Here is a 22220-nt window from a genome sequence, read left to right as displayed (position 1 = left end):
GCTGAGTCAGCCAAATATCAGAAGCCCAAATGTCAAGAAGTGGGCAGATGGAGACCTAAATATACTTAAGACAAGTTAATTTCCATTTTTCTAAGGATAACTATTTGAACACTGTTATGATACCAGAAAATAAATGCTGTTATCTATTATACAAGAAATGAATGGAAATATAGAATGCATAGTAGGCACTCAGTAAATACTAGTAGATGTTAATATTAAATGAATACTGGTAGATAATATTATCATTGAACTAGTAATAATATCCAAAAGCTCAGTCTTAGCCAAGTAAAAAATACAAACAAAAGTGAGAATTTCCACAGGTTATCCTCAGTGAATGAATTCATTTCTTCCATGATAATTGCAGAACCTTGTGTCTAACTAGATCTGATCACATCACTCCTCTGTTTAAAAAGTATCATTGGTTCCCATTCCACTGAAGATAAGGCCCAGGTTCCAGATTCCTTAGCACAGCATGAGCTACTTGGCAACTTTGGCTTCTGTCACAATCCAGTCCCTTTCCCATATGTCCTGTTTTCTAGTCACATGAAGCCAATTTTTATTTCTCGAACATGCCATGTTTCTCATGATGCTCTGCCTACAAGTCTCCCTTTTCCCTTATTCATCCATCCAAATCACTATCCAAATCAAATGTCACCTCCTGGGAAGCCTTCTCTGATAGTCTGTACACTATCTCTCTACTTCCATTAATCTTTAATATTTTTACCTTTAGCAACACTTACAAAATTGCATTATAATTTTTAAGGCACGGCTTTATTTCTAGCTTCTTGTAGCATCCTATTTCTTTGAAACTCAATGAATCAATGCATGAGTGCATGCAAGGCCTGTACTTTCTCCTCTTATAAAACAGGTGGGAAGAATTTCCTAGCTCAGTCTCTTTGTCACCTCAGTAAACATTTTCTAAGTACTTCTTATGAACCTGGTCTTGTATAGGTTTTTAAGAATATGATTTTTTTAAAGGCAAAGTTCTTATCCCCATGGAAAACTCTGTCTATTGAAGGAGACAAAGTGGTAAGTGCTCTGGTTGCATGAGGAAAACATACAAATCTAAGGAAAACAAAGGAGGAGATCCTGACCTAAGCTGGGAAAAGTAGTTTGCCCCTTTAAGGAGAGAGCCACCAGTTCTAAAACATGAAGGATAAAGAAGAAATTTAAAAAGCCACATTAGGTTTTTTTCTTCCTCTCTAGAATAACCCATCCACATTTCATAACTGTCTAACCAGGTTATAATTATCAAGGATTAGTGTATACATAAATTTTGTTCCAGATTTTAAGTCAATACTCTTTTAATAGACTCTGCCAGCCAGCTATGAGTAGTACTGGACACCTCTTGGCACAATTTATTTTATCCTAAAGGGTACACATATAAAAGATGGCATTGCTCAGCCAGGTAACAAAATTGTCTGAGACTTTGTAAACTCATCCACTCTCTGAAAGGAAAAGAGACCTCACCAAAGCAAAACATTACTTTATCCAGCTAGTATAATAAATGCTGTTTATTATTCTAATGAGGAATCTTGATCATTCAGTCACCAGGCATGAGCAGTGGTGGATAACTGCTACCACTTTGCAGGTGCTGTGAATATCCCACAGATTAATTGTGCTCTTGTCTGACTTGAGTCACTATAGCCTTTGAATGACAAAGAACATTGTAGAAAATTAACAAATTGAAAACAGAAACCATCCTCATTAGAGATCATTTTTTATAGTGAATACATTTATATTTTCATTGAAGTTTCCCTTCTCTCTCTACTTGATCTAAATCTCTTGATATCATTTCTCAATGCAATGAAGAGTTCATACCCTTCCCATTGTCCCTGTTATTTTGCTGTCTCTCTTAGTGGATGCCTTGATTAAGCCTTATTCTTTATATAAATGTTGATGCTATTCTTAGTGCTGTAACAGCAGCTTTGTTTCAAAGAAATAGTAGACACTGCAAGATGCTAGAGATACTACAATAAAGCCATACCTTAAAAATTACAATGTAATTTGATGTGTTGCTAAAGGTAAAAATATTAAAGATTAACAGAAGTAGAGAGATAGTGTACAGACTATCAGAGAAGGCTTCCCAGGAGGTGACATTTGATTTGGATAGTGATTTGGATGGATGAATAAGGGAAAAGGGAGACTTGTAGGCAGAGCGTCATGAGAAACATGGCATGTTCAAGAAATAAAAACTGGCTTCATGTGACTAGAAAACAGGACATATGGGAAAGGGACTGGATTGTGACAGAAGCCAAAGTTGCCAAGCAGCTCATGCTGTGCTAAGGAATCTGGAACCTGGGCCTTATCTTCAGTGGAATGGGAACCAATGATACCTTTTAAGCAGAGGAGTGATGTGATCAGATCTAGTTAGACACAAGATTCTGCAATTATCATAGAAGAAAATGAATCTATTCACTGTGGTCTGAGAAACTATGGACAAGGAAGCTATAGCATCAGGTTGGGAACACTGACCTAAATGACCATTGGTTAAGTCAAATGGGAAAAAATAACATTAGCTCGGCACAGTGGCTCACACCCGTAGTCCCAGCACTTTGGGAGGCCAAGGCGGGCAGATTACTTGAGCCCAGGAGTTTGAGACCAGTCTAGACAACATAGCGAAAGCCCACTCTACAAAAGATACAAAAATTAGCCAGGCATGGTGGTGCACACCTGTGGTCTCAGCTACTTGCTAGGCTGAGAGGTAGGAGGATCACCCGAGCATAAGAGGTGAAGACTGCAGTGAGCCAAGATCATGCCACTGCACTCCAGCCTGGGTGACAGAGCAAGACTCTCACATAAAAAAAAAAAGGAGGGTAAAATTAATAAGATAAGCATTTCCTTTCCCTAGGATGTTTATACCCTCCCTCTCTGATACAGGTTGTCAACTCCATGGGAAAATGATCTGCATTTTTCTCTGAAGCCTAATGTTTAAATAACAACATTCTTAATCTCTTAGTATGAGTAACAATAATAATTTAGTAACAGTAAGCAAATAATATTGCAAACTGAAGGAAATTCCATACCTGAGACACTTTGCCTATTGGAATCTGAGTCCCCGTTACTGGAATTAGAATTGTTGGAAGAGTTGTTGTCAACCCCTCCCAGAAGGGGGCGCAAGTGGCTTACTGAGACTTGTTCAATGAATGAAGTTCCGTATTTGCGAAAATACCACCATTCAAATATCTAGAACAGAAAAATAAGCGTGTTTATGGTCACTGTTATCATTTACGACTTCTGTACACATGCCCATAAAACATGTTACATTTACTAATTCCACCTTAAGTATATTTTATTTCAAAAACTGTTTATTCTAAAAATTAGATTTTAGTAAATTTAATAATAACATTTAAAATTCTCAGTGTGGTTTTCTCTGCTTAATACTGGTTTCAAAAAACTATAACATCAATCATGGATAAAAGAACACTGTTAAGAACTGCTCAATATAATTTTTCTCCAAATTTATATATAATATTCAAATAACAAAATCACCATAGCTGAAAGACAATTCCAGAAATGTATATAAATAAGTCAGTTTTTGAAATACGGCTTATGAAATATTCCAGTTCTTTGCACTTTATATTCTGATAAAAACCATACCTCTGTAAAATGCTTAAGAGCAAAATCGGGGTAGGGGCGGGGCAGGAAGGAGTGGGGGTGCTTGGTAAGACCTCCTTAAGGAAATACTGGTTTTACAGAACAAAAGAATGAGCTGTATCCCGTTTCCCACATGGATAGCACCCAGCCACTGAGGTTCAGCATTATTCCACTTGCAGAGAAGTGCTCTATAAACACAAGCATCTGTTGTACACCATTAATGTTTCCTAGTTCACAAGCCTACTAATTGTTATGTACTGTGAATTACAAAAGGGAAAAGAAGTAACTTTCAGTAATGAAAGAACAATGATGCTTACATGATTAGACTGAAGTCAGGACCTCCTAAGCACTGGAAAAGCAAGTGACCTCCCCCAACCCTTCTTACCTGGGATCTCTGCCTCTCTACAGTGAACACTTCCTACCACTGCTCAAAGCGGTTCTCCCCCACATCTTTTTCTCTCCTCCCTGACTGGGGGTTTCCTTAGGCAGTCACAAATCATTCCACAGAAGAAATTTAAGAATCAATCATATCCCAGAGTCTCATAGGATAGCTACATTTTTATAACATAAAATGTGCAATTAACATAGAATTACCTTTACCCTTACTTATTCCATAAAAACAAGATTATCTACCCTGGAATGGACTTTGGGATATAATTTTAAAACTGATGTTTTCCCTGTTTTGTTCTATTAAAGATTTCTAAAAAGATATAAGGAACATTTATGAATGACCAGAAGGAAGTATTAATCAAACGAAATGTTTCCAATCCTATAACAGGACACCTTGATTTAATCCCAGGTAGTTACTCTTTTTGACTATAGGTTGAGTATCCCTTACATGAAATGCTTGGAACCAGAAATGTTTTGGATTTTGAATATTTTCAGATTTTGGAATATGTGTATCACACTGGCTGAGCATCCCTAATCCAAAAATCCAAAATCCAAAATGCTCCTATGAGCACTTCCTTTGAGTGTCAGGTCAGCACTCAAAAAGTTTCAGATTTTGGAGCACTTAAGATTTCAGATTTTCAAATTTTTAAAGTGCTCAACCTATCGTGAATTATCACATGTTAAAACATCCAAGTATTTTCTCTGGGCAGAGACGGGGGAATATACTATCAAGTTAAGAAAGGACAAGACTAATCTGTAACATTTGGAATGACTAGGAATGGGATTTTGCATAAAAGAAGAAAGCTCAGGAATGATAAATTTACACACCATGGATCTAGAAGGGAGTCTATAACCCCAGGTGAGTTATTATCTGAACGTCGGTTTCTTCAACTGTAAGTGGAAATCATATTTGTTATTTATCTCAAGGGTCCTGAATTTTCATACTAACCCCATGTAAAACACCTAAGTCGGTGCCTGCTGCAGTTGGTTTTCAAAAGTAATAGCAAAGCTGCCATTTACTATGTTAATGATGCACATCCCTCCCATGGGCAGCACACCTCACATGCTGCCATGAGGCACCCCACTTTATGCCAGTCTATAATTCAGGTTACTACAGCATTTTGCCTGTTACTAGACAGTTGGTAGAAAGTACTGTAAATCATCATGATGAAGGGTACTGCTCACTGTACAATCCTGACCACTCAACAAGGCCCTCAATAGATTCATGGCTTTGCATTTATTAGAAGAGAAGACTCCAAAGGACCCAGAAAATTCTGTGCCCCAAGTCATTTTTCTGCTTTCTATATTGTGCTGCTGGAGCACCTGCCAGTCCTTAGTTCATTGATTCCATCACACAGCACTACATGTTCCACACCAATCACAAGCGGTGCTCCAGGATTACAGACTTAGCCCCTGCCACTACAAGTCTATGTCACAGATCCATAATACCTCTCACAGGCTCCTGGCATGCCTGTACCCATCACACACACACAAACCCTGGGTTTCTTCAGATTTCTCAGTTCTTCCAGCAGAATCATAAAGTGTCAGCGCTAAAAAGGACCTTAAAGGACTATGTAGAGTCCACTTACAGATGCAGAATGAGAACTACCCATCAAGTTACAATGACCTGACCAAAGTCACAGAGCTAATTAAATAGTCACTTAGCCTAAAGCCCCTACTCTCTGTCACTATCTTACCAAGGCCCTCTATCAAGACTTTATAGCTCCCTTGCTTCGTATAAACAGACAGATGTAGCCTATCATTCCTTTTTTCAAATCTTTACTTCCAAGTGCCCTCTGACACTGTCCCTCTGTGCTTTCCTAGTTATAAAAACCAATTCAGAAGTAGTAGTCTATCAAATGGGACCAGATTATTCATCCTAAGGTAAAAAATGACTCATATTAACTGGACATTTGCTTTGTAATAGGTGATAGACCTTCTACCCAGTATTTCTAATGCAGTAATAATAGACCTCAGTAAAGACTGGGTTATTCATGCAGCTGCTTGGGGAGGAAAAGGAGGGCCTTCTCAGGTCTGTCATATCACTGCAATAGTACAGCCCCTGCTGTGTACAGAGAACATAAGTATAAAGATGGACCTCTGCTGTGTACAGGGGGCACTAGAATAAAAAAGGACCCCGTCCTTCTAATAAATATTGAATGAACAACTAGGAAAGAAAGAAGGGAAGAACTCAAAGCCTTCTGAAACTTCAAACAGTGTCTTCATGTAGGGTCTTAACATAAAAATCTTTCCCTTATCCTGAAATATGTCAGGCTTTGGGCGAGCACCTCACAGTATTTTAAAAGAGCTGCACAGATCCAAATGGGCAGATGGTGTTATTTAATGCGCACATATTTGGTGTCACTTTGAATTCTTTTCCCTGGTGCATACCTACAATGTAAACAGCAAAGCTCTCATAAACAAATTTAGATTTTAAAAGCACTTCTTGGACATGCTAGTAGCTCAGTGGGCCTGTCACAGTGGAACAAAACAGTTTTTGGTCTGACAACCAAAAAATTAAAATATAAATATGCATTTCATAGTCTTAAAAACTTAACCTCTCCTGCGCTTTTTTCCTGTTGATGCTCTGCCCCTGAGAGGGTCAAGTAAGACGAGAACTAAAAAGTATCAAGCTGGTTTGGGATTTAGGAAGTCAACAGGAACCTTACCATTTAGTTTAAAGGCAAAACCCCTTTAAACTAGATAGCTGGGCTATGTGACCTTGGTTGCTTTTCTTGATTCCTTGGGGCTTAGTTTTCTAATGTGTAAAATAAGATCACTGTAAGCATTCAGTTGATGTTGGATGAAGAGATGGAGAGAGAAAGGGAGGGATGACTAGAAGACTGAATGGAAGGATATTTGGAAGGTTGACTGGGTGGATGATAAGGGCTGGCCTGGTTGATGTAACAGGAGATTGTCTAAATCAACAGTGGGATCAATAAAAGGTTTTGTGTTCATTTTGTTTTTTATGAAAAAGAGAGGTTCACACATGTTTGTGTTAGGGGAAAAAAATCCAGTGGAAAGAGAGAAACTGATGGTGGGAAAGAGTACAAATTACCCAGAGACATGATCCCAAGTCCATTCTGCCTTTAAAAAGTAACCTACCGGCTGGGCGCGGTGGCTCATGCCTGTAATCGCAACACTTTGGGAGGCCAAGGCGGGCAGATCACCTGAGGTCAGGAGTTCGAGACCAGCCTGGCCAACATGGTGAAACCCCATCTCTACAAAAATATAAAAATTAGCCAGGCGTGGTGGTGGGTGCCTGTCATCCCAGCTACTCGGGTGGCTGAGGCAGCAGAATTGCTTGAACCTGGGAGACGGAAGTTGCAATGAGCTGAGATCGCGGGACTGTACTCCAGCCTGGGTGACAGAGTTAGACTGTGTCTCAAAAAAAAAAAAAAAAAAAGTAACCTACCACTTCTCACTTCTTGCTCTAAGATAGGAAGAAAGAGAAAGAAGAATGAATAGGGGGAGACATTCTATTTTGGAAAGTAGAGTGTGATATGAGCTGTTTCCCAGGTTAGAAGGCAATAACTGGATAAAAACTGGGTGACACTGATCTCAGTGGAGGTGCAGGTTAGGTATATCTTCTGGGAATAAGGGAGGTGGGGATGGAATTGGGAATGAGAGGGCTGAGGAAGTGGTTTGGACCTATATCTTACAAGGCAGAAGGGCCAGAAGCTATACTCAGGGCCCAGATCGTATTTAAAACAAAGATCCATTTGGCAAGGACCCAGTTACCAATGCCCAGTGAGCTCCTTCATTATTATTTGACAGAAGCAGAAAGGATAACCAAGGAGCACTGGGGCTGGGAGCTGGGGGCAGAGACCCAGGTTTCCAGCTGGCCTAAGCTTCAAACTTGTCTCATATTTACCTGCAGGGAACAAAAATCAGACAAAGGAACAATAAACAAGGCCTTTCCATCAATCTTGCAGACCTAAAAGTAGACTCTTTGTTCAAGATGCCTAGGTTCTTCCTATCCAATAAGTCCTCCTCTTCTTTTGAATTGCATATTCTATACATAAAACACTCCATGTGTCAGGAATTTCCCTATGCCCTATTATCACACTCAAAAATGCCTCCAGATTTCCACACAGCAAAAGCTTAGTAATTCCACACCAACACCATTAAACCCATGGGAAATAGAAAGATGTCAAAGCTTGAAACTGGCTAAGTGCTTCTTAAGAATTAAAGTAGACAATGATGTCACAGGAGGATAGATACAGTGATGGCAGAGACTGAAGAAGGAATACGAAACTTTATGGCAGTCTACTCCTAGATAGAAAGATTGCCAAATCAACACCTGCTCCAAGTCTTCAAAAATATATCTGGTGGTAAACAGTTTTTTTTTTTTTGGCAAAAGGGATTATCTGGGCTTAAGAAGATAAACCCAGGCAGTTGGCATGTGTTACAGTAATACCTGTAACATTTTTAGTTTCTTTTTTGATCCTAAAGTATATTCTTTTTACCATATTGACTCTTTCAAAGTCCTTCCTAATTCCTCATGACAGATCAAACTTTTTTTTTTTTACATTCTTGGTTTCTGTATATTTTGTTTAGGAATATGGAATAGCAACTGAGTGGGTCTTGGCCTCCTGCTTCCTAGATCTCAGCCAATCCCTCTGCAGCCACCTGTTCCCCTCAACAGTTGCGGGGGCTATGTAAACTGGCACTCTGCCCTTCCACCCGCCTTTGTGGCCACCTGTTGCCGAGACTTTAAGAAAACACAGGGAAGTAAGGCTCTCTTCAAGGTCAACAGCCAATGGTCCATCCCCACCTCAGTGTCTCTAAGTTCACAGGATGAGATTTTCCACCGCAGCATTAACTACTATGGCCTAAAAGGGAGGGTAACTCTCCTGAACAAAGCCCTGGAGACCACTGAGAATTGGGAAAAGCCAGCCTGTGTCATTCATCCCAAGCCCTGCCAGCTGTCCTCTAGGTCCCTCCTCTAGAGATTCTAATTCAGTTGGTCTGGGTGGTGCTCAGAATCTATCATTTTAAACAAGCTCCCAGATAATTCTGATGCAGTCAGTTTCATTCATTCATTCCTTGGATCTTATGTGCATTTGACAAATATTTTCTAAGTATTTACCCTGGCATTTCATATACAGTAGCACACAGAAACACAGATATGGTTCCTGCCTATTCTAAAGAGGAAGAAGACAATAAACGATCACACAAATGAAATATAATGATAAATGTGCTAAGCATTGGTCTATGTTCTAGGCTGGACAAATCTGGCCTAACCCATGGCCAATTAGAAAAAGAAAAAATGTTTCCTCCAAAGAAGGTTGCAGTCTTCCTCTTCTCTCTTTCTTTTCCTTTTTCTTTTCTCTTTCCCTCTCCCCACTCTCTCCTTCTTATCTACCTGACCCACTTCTGTGTGTCTGTTAAAATGAAAATATCAACCGCTACACCCTGCTGCTATCCACCTTCCCAGGCAAACCTTATGAGAGGCAGAAAGATGCTAGGGCAGAGTGGTGGAAATTTAAATTCTAGTCTTCACTCCATCCTTACCTAGCAAAGTTTCGTAGGTAAGTCACAAGTTTTCTGAATGCCTAGTCCTTAGGTCTTTACTGATTTAAAGTGGATTGCTTCTGAGCATTCCTGCCTCAGCACTGCAACTATATGACTTTCAAGTCTCTCAATTTGTGCTGAAATGCAAGCTGAAAAAGCCAAAATGGCAGTTTTGTCCCTTTATCCGCCATTAGCTCATTCACCTTCTTCACTTCTGCCATATCTTATCATTAATCTGTTCTACCCAAATGCTGAAATCCACAATCAGTCCACGAGAGGTATCAATCTACTTTCTTTGCCTGACACGGGGTCCCCTGCAGAAGATCATTTACTTCCGTGGTGAACACAAGAAGCTGTAATTTGACAAGGTTAAATGAGCCTATTTCCTCTCATTGTCTGCAGGCTCCCCAGCCATCTGGCCCTCACAGCATCTCTCTCATTCTTTATTCTAGAGTCAAGAGACAAGGTGCTTCAGAGATGACACAGCTTGACATTTATGGGCTGCTTCCCACCCCAATCCCCCAAGAGCCCTTCTAATCAAGTTTCCCTGTGTCTTTTTCCACTCTTCGTTCCAGAATCACCATTATTTTGGGTGATCCATATGGCTATCAATTAAAGTGCTACCTGAGTGCTGTTCAACTTCTTGAGATGGATGAAAAAGGAATGAAAGGAGACATAGCAATCTTCAACTCCGCTCCTTTACTTTTGAATAAGAGGTGATGGAAGGCAAGGTCAGAGAGATCTGGGTTCAAATCTCATGATTTAACTGCTATATAACCTTGGCCAAATTATTTAAACTTTGTGTCTGTTTTTACTTAGCAATATAAAGACACTGGTCATACCCACCACTCAGAATTTCAATCAGAACTAAATGAAATAATATATGCAAAGTGCTTAATATAGTACACCTGGCATGGAGTGGTAACTCAATAAATAGATCTTTTGTTATAACTCATTCCTATTCAATCGTCATCTGCTACCACTTTCCCAAAAACACACTTCTTTTACATTTAATCCATGAATTAATTATTTTATTTACCATTCTGATTTTCTCCATTTCCTGTTCTTGATTCTGACTTCTAAAAATTATGCTCTGGATGCCTCTTAAAAATACCTCTGTTATATATATATATACACACACACACACATGCATATATATGTACATATATGTATATCTATATACATATACACAAATATACATATCCTGTATCCTATTAAAATGTGTATTGATCCCTATATCCAATGAAATACATACACACACATTTTAATAGGGATATAGGAATCTATGTATAAATGTCAATGCAACATACAGAATTGTATGCATTCTATCAACATTTTGAGATAATTAAGGGGAGCATTTTCTGCACATATCCACCTTACCACTCTCAAAAGCGAAGCAAAATCCAGAGATTTTCTCCACTATAATAAACACTCCCTGCAGAGGCTGGGCATGTCTTTGCTAGCAGATAAGACTAACTTGGCAGGTCTGGACTGTGATGACAGGTGCAGTTCTTGTGGATGGAACTGGACTGGGATGGGAAGGCTTGTGCCAAGCAGGCAGAGGGGTATCTTGAAATTAAGCAAGGGAAAAAGCTGGATGGATGGGTATAGGCATAGGAACTAAAAGGGAAGAGTGAGCTAGATGGTATAACAAAGTCATTGCTAGCTTTCACCTTGTGAACTAAGAAGTATTAGGGATATCTAATAAAATATACACCTGTTTATTTTTAAGTACATTGTATATCTGTTCAGTTAATTGACTTTTTCTTTACAGAGGAAACATCAGGGTTTTTCTTTGTTTTTAGCTCTCTCTTCCAAAGAAATCAAATTTAATTTGATAATTTTAGTCTCCAGCATAGAAATCCTGAGGCCCCCAAATAATCAATTTCCCCAGGGTCAGCCGTGTACTTTAAATGTCCATGGCAGGCTCCTAGGACATTGCTTAGGTGAGAGCAGTTAGGTAATTATCTCCCTGGGGCCAGGAAGCAAACTGCTAAGCATTTCCATGCACACAACTATTTTGCAGAGCACCTGATCCTTTACCTCAATGCTGCCTCTCCCTGAAATGCACTCAGCAGAAAAGGATAGTGGCTGAATAGAAACCTTACCCTGGGTTCATTTCGAGGCCTGGCAAAGCTGAGTCCCTAAAGGCTAGGCATGTCAACAAGCTCTAAAGCAGGAGCCTAAAGCTGTACACACTGTAGTTATTTAGCTCTCACTACAGACCAGCATTTTGAGAGAGACCTTTCAAAATGTTCCTACAGGAGAGGTTTTCCTTTGCTCAAAGTTTCCTATCAGTCGGAAGCATCCTCTGCTTCCTGAGAATGCTGCAAGACAAATGTACCATAAGATAGCCCAGCAATGATCATCCGGTTCAGCAGGGGCACAGAAAACCTCACCAGCCCAGATCTGCAAAGGCAGCCAGGCTCTAGGGAAATCCCTTTATTGCTGTTGGGGCTTCCCCATCTTTGAGTTAAAAAGGAAAACAACCATTAGGCCTAGCTCACCAGAGTGAAAGGAAACAACCCACACGGAGGTAATTAATTTATAGCCTGTGAATCTACACCACGCTACTGCTAGAATAAAGTCCAGACCTACCATTTGTACAGCAGGCTAGAAAAACAGCTGACCACAGAGGCAGTGAAATGAGTGACAGAGTGCAGGCTGCCTGCACAAGATGGCCTGGGTTCCAACCCTGCTCCTCCATTGCTAGCTGTGTGACTGAAGGCAGGTTACTAACTGGCCTATTCTACCTATTGAGCCTACCTGTAAGTAAAAAGGAAACAACCATTAGCAATGACCCTGTTGTACGGTGGGGAAGAGTAAATGAGTTAGCATGCAAAGTGCTTTAGATCAGTGCCTGGCATCATCTAAGTAGGTAACAGTCTTCAGTGACCCTCCTCTGAGAGGAGGAATGTATAAACAAAAGACAAAAGCCTACCTTTCAGCATCAGAGTGAATTACTGGTTTCAGTATGAAATTGTATCCAGAAAAGTTCTTTTTTTCTATTTGCTTACTTAAAAATATTTCCAAGATGTTTTGAATGAAAATGTTAAAATACTATTGTAAATGTAAATGATAATCATCAGAGGGAGACTTGTAATGCCTTCCCTTCTCCCTCCCACAAAACATATATGCTAAAAGATTGCCATGTTTGGGGCATATATTTAGTAAGAATTTACCAAGCATTTTCCCAGTCTGAAGTTGCCTCTATTTAGGAATATTAAGGTAGGTTTTTAATCATAAAGGGGTGCTGGATTTTGTCAAATGTTTTTTCTGCATCTATTGAAATGATCATGTGATTTTCATTTTTAATTCTGTTTATATGGTGTATCACATTTATTTACTTGCATATGTTAAACCATCCCTGCATCCCTGGTATGAAACCCACTTGTTCATGGTGAATTATCTTTTTGGACATGCTGTTGGATTCAGTTAGCTAATATTTTACTGAGAATTTTTGTATCTACGTTCATCAGAGATATTGATCTGTAGTTTTATTTTTTTGTTATATTGTTTCCTGGTTTGGGCATTAGGGTGATACTGGCTTCACAGAATAATTTAGGGAGGATTCCTTCTTTATTTTTTGGAATAGGGTCAATAGGATTGGTACCAATTCTTCTTTGAATGTCTGATAGAATTCAGCTGTGAGTCTATCTGGTCCTGGACTTTTTTTTGTTGGTAACTTTTTAATTACCATTTCAATCTGTTCAGACTTTCAATTTCTTCCTAGTTTAATTTAGGATGGTTGTATATTTCCAGGAATTCATCCATCTCTTCTAGGTTTTCTAGTTTATGTGTGTAAAGGGGTTCAAAGTAGCCTTGAATTATCTTTTGTATTTCTGTGGTATCAGTTGTAATATCTCCTATTTCGTTTCTAATTGAGCTTATTTGGATCTTCTCTCTTCTTCTCTTGCTTAATCTCACCAATGGTCTATCAATTTTATTCATCTCTTCAAAAGAATTGGCATAGAAGGGACATACTTAAGGTAATAAAAGCCATCTCTGACAAACCCCCAGCCAACATTATACTGAACGAGGAAAAGTTGAAAGCATTTACCCTGAGAACAGGACAAGGATGCCCACTTTCACCACTTCTATTCAACATAGTACTGGAAATCCTAGCCACAGCAATCAGACAAGAGAAAGAAATAAAGGGCATTCAAATCGGTAAAGAGGAAGTCAAACTGTCAAGTGTTTGCTGATGACATGATCATATACCTAGAAAACCCTAAAGACTCATCCAAAAAGCTCCCAGGAGTGGTAAATGAATTCAGCAAAGTTTTAGGATACAAAATTAATGTACGCAAATTAGTAGCCCTGCTATACACCAACAGCGACCAAGCTGAGAAGCAAATGAAGAACTCAACCACTTTTACAGTAGCTGTAAAAATAAAAAAATAAAAAAATACTTAGGAATACACTTAACCAAGGAGGTGAAAAACCTCTACAAGGAAAACTACAAAACACTGCTGAAAGAAATCACAGATAACACAAACAAATGGAAACACATCCCATGCTCATGGATGGGTAGAATCAACATTGAGAAAATGACCATACTGCCGAAAGCAATCTACAAATTCAATGCAATTCCCATCAAAATACCACCATCATTATTCACAGAACTAGAAAAAAACAACCAAAAAATTCATATGGAACCTAAAAAGAGCCTGCATAGCCAAAGCAAAACTAAGCAAAAAGAACAAATCTGGAGATTCACATTACCTGACTTCAAACTATACTATAAGGCCACAGTCACCAAAACAGCTTGGTACTAGTATAAAAACAGGCATATAGACCTATGAAACAGAATGAAGAACCCAGAAATAAAGCCAAATACTTACAGTCGACTGATCTTGGACAAAGCACAGCAAAAATATAAAGTGTGGAAAAGACACCCTATTCAACAAATGGTGCTGGGATAATTGGCAAGTCACATGAGTAAGAATGAAACTAGATCCTCATCGCTCACCTTATACAAAAATCACCTCAAGATGAATCAAAGACTTAAATCTAAGACCTGATACCATAAAAGTTCTAGAAGATAACATTGGAAAAACCCTTCTAGACATTGGCTTAGGCAAAGACTTCATGAACAAGAACCCAAAAGCAAGTGCAACAAAAAAAAAGATAAATAGATGGGACTTAATTAAACTAAAAAGCTTCTGCACAGCAAAAGAAATAATCAGCAGAATTAACAGACACCCCACAGAGTGGCAGAAAATCTTCATAATCTACACATCTGACAAAGGACTAATATCCTGAATCTACAAGGATTTCAAATAAATCAGCAAGAAAGAAAAAAATCCCTTCAAAAAGTGGGCTAAGGGCCGGGTGCAGTGGCTGACGTCTACAATCCCAGAACTTTGGGAGGCCGAGGCAGGTGGGTCACCTGAGGTCAGAAGTTGGCCAGACCAGCCTGGCCAACATGGTGAAACCCTGTCTCTAACAAACACAAAAAATTAGCCAGGCATGGTGGCACATGCCTGTAATCCCAGCTACTTGGGAGGCAGAGGCAGGAGAATTGCTTGAACCCAGGAGGCAGAGGTTGCAGTGAGCCGAGATTGTGCCATTGCACTCCAGCCTGGGCAACAAGAGTGAAAATTCTGTCTCAAAAAAAAAAAAAAAAAAAAAAAAAAGAAGTGGGCTAAGGACATGAATAATAGATAATTCTCAAAAGAAGATATACGAATGGCCAATAAACATGAAAAAAATGCTCAACATCACTAATGATCAGGGAAATGCAAATCAAAACCACAATGCAGCACCACTTCACCCCTGCAAGAATGACCATAATAAAAAGTAAAAAAATAATAGATATGGGTATGGATGTGGTGAAAAGGGAATACTTTTACACTGCTGGTGGGAATGTAAACTAGTACAACCACTATGGAAAACACTGGAGATTCCTTAAAGAACTAAAAGTACATCTACCATTGGATCCAGCAATCCCACTACCAGGTACCTACCCAGAGGCAAAGAAGTCACTATACAAAAAAGATACTTGTACACGCATGTTTATAGCAGCACAATTTGCAATAGCAAAAATATGGAACCAGTCCAAATGCTCATCAATAAGTGGATAAAGAAAATGTGGTGTGTGTGTATGTATACATATATATATATATACACATACACACACACCATGGAATACTACTCCACCATAAAAAGGAATGAAATAATGGTATTTGCAGCAATCTGGATGGAATTGGACATCATTATTCTAAGTGAAGTAACTCAGGAATGGAAAGCCAAAAGTATGTTCTCACTCATAAGTGGGAGCTAAACTATGAGGACGCAAAGGCATTAAGAATGATACAATGGGCCAGGCACAGTGGCTCACGCCTGTAATCCCAGCACTTTGGGAGGCCGAGGCAGGTGGATCATGAGGTCAGGAGATCGAGACCATCCTGGCTAACACGGTGAAACCCCGTCTCTACTAAAAATACAAAAAATTAGCCGGGCATGGTGGCGGGCGCCTGTAGTCCCAGCTATTCAGGAGGCTAAGGCAGGAGAATGGTGTGAACCCGGGAGACAGAGATTGCAGTGAGCCGAGAAAGCACCACTGCACTCCAGCCTGGGCAACAGAGCAAGACTCCAACTCAAAAAAAAAAAAAAAAAAAAAAGAATGATACAATGAACTTTGAAGACTCAGAGGAGGAAAGAGTGGGAAGAGGGTGAGGGATAAAAGACTACACATTGGGATTGGGTATGGTGTACACTGCTAGGGGGATGGATGCACGAAAATCTCAGAAATAGCCACTAAAGAACTTACTCAGGAAATACCAACTGTTTCCCAAAAACCTATTGAAATAAAAATTTAAAAATAAAAATAAACAAGCTTTGAAAGAAAAAAAAGAATATTAAGGTAGGAACATGAAGACTTAGGTTCTAGGCCTGACTTTGCTGCAAACTAACCACATGAGCTTAGACAAAACATTTCCTGGCCGGGTGCGGTGGCTCACGCCTGTAATCCCAGCACTTTGGGAGGCCGAGGCGGGTGGATCTTGAGGTCAGGAGATCGAGACCATCCTGGCTAACAAGGTGAAACCCCGTCTCTACTAAAAATACAAAAAATTAGCCCGGCGCGGTGGCAGGCGCCTGTAGTCCCAGCTACTCGGGAGGCTGAGGCAGGAGAATGGCGTGAACCCGGGAAGCGGAGCTTGCAGTGAGCCGAGATTGCGCCACTGCAGTCCGCAGTCTGGCCTGGGCGACACAGCGAGACTCCGTCTCAAAAAAAAAAACAAAAACAAAAACAAAAACAAAAAACATTTCCTTTTCTTTCTTCTGTTAGTCTCGATTTTCTTCTCTGAAAAACGAATGGCTTAGGGATGAATGATCAAAGTCCTATCAGGTCAACAATCCCTGATTCTCCCCATGGCTTTTTAAAATTGATACATAATAGCTGTACATATTTTCAGGGTACATGTGATAATTTGATACCTTCATGTAATATGTAAAGATCAAATCAGGGTCACTGGAATATCTACCACCTTAAATTTATTTTTCTTTTCTTTGTGCCAGGAACATTCAAATTATTCTCTTCTGACTATTCTGAAATACACAACAGATTGTTAACTATAGTCACCCTAACTATCTGTCAAACATTAGATCTTATTTATTCTATTTAACTGGTATATTTGTACCTATTAATAAACCTCAGCCAGGCATGGTGGCTCACGCCTGTAATCCCAGCACTTTGGGAGGCCAAAGGAAGAGTATTGCTTGAGCCCAGGAATTCAACACCAGCCTGGGCAATATAGGGAGACTCCATCTCTACAAACAATTTTAAAAATTAGCCAGACATGATGGCACGCACCTGTGGTCCCAGCTACTTGGGAGGCTGAGACAAAGGATTGCCTGAGCCCAGGAGGTCAAGGTTACAATAAGCTGTGCAGTGTGCAGTACACTGCAGCCTGCGTGACCTTCCCAGCCTCTGGTAACCACCAATCTACTCTGTATCTTTGAGATCCACTTTTTAAACTCCCATATATGAGTGAGAATATGCAATATATGTCTTTCTGTACTTGGCTTATTTCACTCAACATAATGACCTCCAGTTCCATCCATGTTGCTGCAAATAACAGAACATTCTTTTTCATCACTGAAAAACATTCCATTGTGGAACATTCAAATTCCAAAGAGAACTATTTACAAATTAACCTCTGTTCCCTGATTCAATCATTCTCCCTAGTAATCATGTATTACCCTCAAGAAAATTCCTCTTTTCCCCGTCCCACAACTTGTTTCTCCACCATAACTTGTTTTGCCAGGATCCAAGACCCCAATCTTTCTGTAACCTCAAGATCATATATAAGCTTCTTAACCCCACTGAGATATTGGGTAATCACTCTGTAGTTCTCCTGTGCACGTTAATAATACATTTCTTATGCCTTTTCTCTTATTAATCTGCCATTTGTCAGTTAATTTTTCTGTCAACCTTTCAAGGATGAAGGGGAAGTTTTCTGTTCATCTCTGCAATATATACCACATATTCTTTACGCATTCATCAACTGATGGGTACTTAAATTGATTCTAAATTTTGGCTATTATGAACAGTGCTGCAATAAACATGGGACTGCAGGTATCTCTTTGACATACTGATTTCCTTTCTTTTGGATATATATCCAAGAAGTGAATTGCTGGATCATATGCTATTTCAATTTCTAGCTTTTTGAGAAACATCCGTTTTCCATAGTGGCTGTACTAATTTACAATCCCACCAACAGTGTACAAGAGTACCCCTTTCTCCACATCTTCACCAGCTTCTGTTACACCCAGTTTTTGTTTTGTTTTGTTTTTTGAGACGGAGTCTCGCTCTATTGCCCAGGCTAGAGTGCAGTGGTGCCATCTCAGCTCACTGCAACCTCCGCCTCCTGGATTTAAGTGATTCTGCTGCCTCAGCCTCCTGAACAGCTGGGACTACAGGTGTGTGCCACCACACCCGGCTAATTTTGTATTTTTAGTAGACACAGGGTTTCACCATGTTGGCCAGGCTGGTCTCGAACTCCTGGCCTCATGTGATCCTCCTGCCTCTGCCTCCCAAAGTGCTGTGATTGCAGGCGTGAGCCACTGCACCTACCACACCCTTTCTTCTTACAAAAATTAGCCAGGCACGGTGGCACATGCCTGCAGTCCCAGCTACTCAGGAGGCCGAGGCAGGAGAATCACTTGAAGCCATTCTAACTGTAGTGAGATGATAGCTCGTTGTGGTTTTGGTCTGCATTTCTCTGATGATTAGTGATACTGAGCACTTTTTCATATACCTGTTGTCCATTCACATGTCTTCTTTTGAGAAATGTTTATTCAGATCTTTGCCCATTTTATAATTGGATTATTTGCGGTTTTGCTATTGAGTTATTTGAGCTCCTTATATATTCTGGTTATTAATCTCTTAGATGAATAGCCTGCAAATATTTTCTCCCATTCTATGGTTTGTCTCTTCACTTTATTGTTTCCTTTGCTGTGCAGGAGCCTTTTAACTTGATATAATCCCATTTGTCTATTTCTGCTCTGGTTGCCTGTGCTTTGAGGTCTCACACAAAAAGTCTTTACCCAGACTAATGTTCTGGAGCATTTCCCCAATGTTTTCTTTCACAGTGTCATGGTTTCAGGTCTTAGATTTAAGTATTTAATCCATTTTGATTTGATTTTGCATATGGTGAGAGATAGAGGTCCAGCTTCATTCTTCAACATATGGTTATTCAGTTTTTCCAGCACATTTATTGAAGAGACTGTCCATTCTCCAATGTACGTTCTCAGTGCCTTTGTCGAAAATGAGTTGACTGTAAATTTGTGGATTTATGTCTGGGCTCTCTACTCTGTTCCATTGCTATGTGTCTGTTTTTATGCCAGTACCATGCTGATTTGGTTACTATAACTTTGTAAAATATTTTGAAGTCAGATAGTGTGATGCCTCCAGTTTTGTTCTTTTTGCTCAGGATTGCTCTGGCTATTCAGGGTCTTCTGTGGTTCCACATAAATTTTAGATTTTTTTTTCTATTTCTGTAAAGAATGTGATTGGTATTTTGATAGGGATTGCATTAAATAAGTAAATTTATGTGCAGAGTATTATAAAATTTATTCACAGAGTATTGTCATTTTGATGATATTAATTCTTCCAATCCACGAGCACAAAATATCTTTCCATTTTTTGTGTGTTCTCTTCAATTTTTTTCCATCAGGGTTTAATAGTTTTCCTTGTATGCATCTTTCACTTTTTTTATTAAATTAATTCCTAGGTATTTTATGCTCTTTATAGCTATTGTAAATGGGATTGCTTTCTTGATTTCTTTTTCAGATTGTTCACTGTTAGCATATATAAATGTTACTGATTTTTGTATGCTGATTTTGTATCCTGCAACTTTATTGAATTCGTTTATCAGTTCTGTTTTTGGTAGAGTCTTTAGGTTTTTCTAAATATAAGATCATGTTGTCTGCAAACAGGGCTCACTTGACTTCTTCCTTTTTCATGGTTTTCTCTTCTATCACCTATCTCACTGAAACTGATCTCCCCTTTTCATTACTTTCTCTCATCATCTTCTGTCTACTCCTTGTCCTCTCTGGATATCATGTAATTCTCAATATATTAATATAGTTTCTTACATAGCTCTAAATAATAAGTATATTGCCTCCTAATGAAAATATTTTTTAATTAATAAAGTTAGAAACCTTTGGATTGAGAGATTCATTCCCATACCTTCAGCACTTACCACAATTTTTTCTGTGGTTTTCTAGCAAAACAGTTTCTGCTGGCTTCCGTCCACCAAATCCTCTCTTAGATAATTTTCCTCTGCCCTCAATCCCCTAGATTGAAGAGATTATCTAAAGCCTTTCTCTTCTCCATTCATTGCTCTAGGTCAGACTCAAATATTTTTACTATTTCCCATTTGGACAATTTACGTTGTTCCTCAACAGGTTAAGTAGAAGTAAATTTTTGAGGTGATTGTTCTCTGAAGCCAAGAGTTCCTGCCCCCGCCCCGACAAATGTGAAGACCAATGTGGGGCTGCTGCTATATTCTTCTTTGCAAAGTAATAATAGTAAAATAACACTACCATACACTATCACCATCATTTCAGAAGAAAATTTTAACGTTAAAAAGTAAGAAGGACACAATCTCAGAATAAAATACAGTCCTTACATGGAATAAATTAGTGACCAGCTTTATAGCTTTATGGAGCCACTTTCTACAGGGTCTTTATTTTTCTCATATCTCTAAAGAACAGGGAAAACTTCAGAGACACATACAGGTGAACAGATTAGTATTTAAGAGGCGACATGGTATAAATTATCGCATATACCTTATTTCAACCCATTTTAAGGAGGAAGTTTAATATGCTTCACCTCAACTTGGGTTGGTCTTTGCAGCCAGCATTGGGCTTTCTAGTTGGATTTTCATTTATCCAAAACAGATTTTTAGTACCAGAAGTAGTTCTAGAGAAACAGAATTTTGAGGATAGATTTCTTTAGTTGGTTTTGGGGTTTCTGGAGTTGGCTGCTTAATATAATTAGACCCAAAAATGCTAAGGACTCTACTTCTAATAGTATGGAGAACACTGACAGTCCTTGGCGTGAACTGTTTAGAGAGTTATGCAAAATAAATGCATTTGATACTCCTGATTCACCACTCTTGAGAGGCAAAGAGTTTAGCAACTCTACACATAATACCTTTGACCATATGTGGAGAACCAAGGAATATAATGAAGTTGGTTGGTTGCTCCTAAGTTCACTGGACAAGGTGATGAAAACAACGAACTCAGGGATTCTAACTCCTGGCTCCAGAAGCACATACTGAGCTTCGAATCTTCTAAGAGTGCCCTTAGTGAGAGTCTCATCTCTTGTAGAGAAAGAGCTGGAAATTGTGGAAAATCAGACACAAGCTCTTATGTGAGTGGCTGACCTGCAATGATAGGTACATGCTCAGGCTCACCAGGTATCTACTGTTAAAGTGAGGGCATTAATTGGAAAAGAGTGGGACCCTGAAACTCGGAATGGAGATGTGTGGGAGGACATTTAACACCAACTTTAAACATCTCATGCCACGAGTTTAACAATCCATATGACACAGCAAAGCAAGATGAACCTGGATGTTCTCTGCACACAAAAAGATCCTCCCCACACTGCCATCATCCCTCTCCTCTGTTTGCAGGTTTCTGTCCTCCATACATTTCTTCATCTTTTTACTCTGGCTCCTCACAAGCTCAAGCTTCTGAAATCCACCATTATTCTAGGTCCATTTATGCTCTTTGCTCCACATGTTTGCACCCTTCTCTAAAGCTTTTCTGTTTTTCTTCTGATCATCCACTTCTCTTAACATCAACTCTGTAAAATTTTTCTTATGCTTGTTTCTATAATTTAATCACAAGTATATGGGTACAGAGAAAAAAAGCTTTTCTAAAACCTTTTTGCCTTAAAGGTCATTTAATTCTATTAGAGTAGTCCCACTGAGTTTAGATGGTCCCCATTTGAGGCCACTAAAATTAACTACTTCAAGTGTTACCATTTAGCACACCTGCAACTGTTACAAAGATAAGGTAATAGAGCCATACAAATGATAATCATATTGCTTTTTTGCATTTTAGGGATTTTTTTTAAAGGAAGCAATGCATAAATAAATGTAAATTTAGAAAGAAAAGAAGATGAAGGGAAAAAAAACTTAGAATTGTCACAATCCATGTCAATACATTTAAAAAAAAACTAAGCTATATTTCTATTG

At 39.1% G+C, this 22220-nt stretch overlaps 1 protein-coding gene and 1 long non-coding RNA gene across 19 annotated transcripts in view, besides 2 other annotated features; one reads left to right on the top strand and one right to left on the bottom strand.

The window, feature by feature from the left end:
* ST7 (suppression of tumorigenicity 7) overlaps nucleotides 1–22220 on the bottom strand; it is a 276676-nt gene that overhangs the window by 107430 nt on the left and 147026 nt on the right. For all 17 annotated transcript variants that reach the window (NR_161420.1, NR_161421.1, NR_161422.1 and 14 more), the window contains one exon: nucleotides 3027–3186. Coding sequence is in view for 11 of the 17 variants with exons in the window: in NM_001369607.1 (NP_001356536.1) it covers nucleotides 3027–3186 (160 nt within the window). In the remaining 6 variants the exon portion in view is untranslated. The remainder of the gene's footprint in view (nucleotides 1–3026; nucleotides 3187–22220) is intronic.
* ST7-AS2 (ST7 antisense RNA 2) overlaps nucleotides 1–22220 on the top strand; it is a 73521-nt gene that overhangs the window by 22846 nt on the left and 28455 nt on the right. The window contains exons 3-5 of one of the 2 annotated variants that reach the window (NR_109981.1): nucleotides 4294–4396; nucleotides 4764–4846; nucleotides 10080–10455. This is a non-coding gene — a long non-coding RNA (ST7 antisense RNA 2). Of the gene's footprint in view, nucleotides 1–4293; nucleotides 4397–4763; nucleotides 4847–10079 lie in introns of those variants that run through there. The other variant, NR_002331.3, reaches the window with a different exon arrangement.
* Nucleotides 11900–12119: an enhancer, noted in NCBI's record as "active region_26544". NCBI's record gives its function as "activates an Ori minimal core promoter by ATAC-STARR-seq in GM12878 lymphoblastoid cells {active_cell/tissue: GM12878}" and the evidence as "EXISTENCE:reporter gene assay evidence [ECO:0000049][PMID:35858748]".
* Nucleotides 12160–12239: an enhancer, noted in NCBI's record as "active region_26543". NCBI's record gives its function as "activates an Ori minimal core promoter by ATAC-STARR-seq in GM12878 lymphoblastoid cells {active_cell/tissue: GM12878}" and the evidence as "EXISTENCE:reporter gene assay evidence [ECO:0000049][PMID:35858748]".

The sequence above is a fragment of the Homo sapiens genome, chromosome 7 (genome assembly GCF_000001405.40).
Source record: "Homo sapiens chromosome 7, GRCh38.p14 Primary Assembly".
NCBI classification, from domain to species: Eukaryota; Metazoa; Chordata; class Mammalia; order Primates; family Hominidae; genus Homo; species Homo sapiens.
This window is presented reverse-complemented; position numbering and strand designations above follow the sequence as displayed.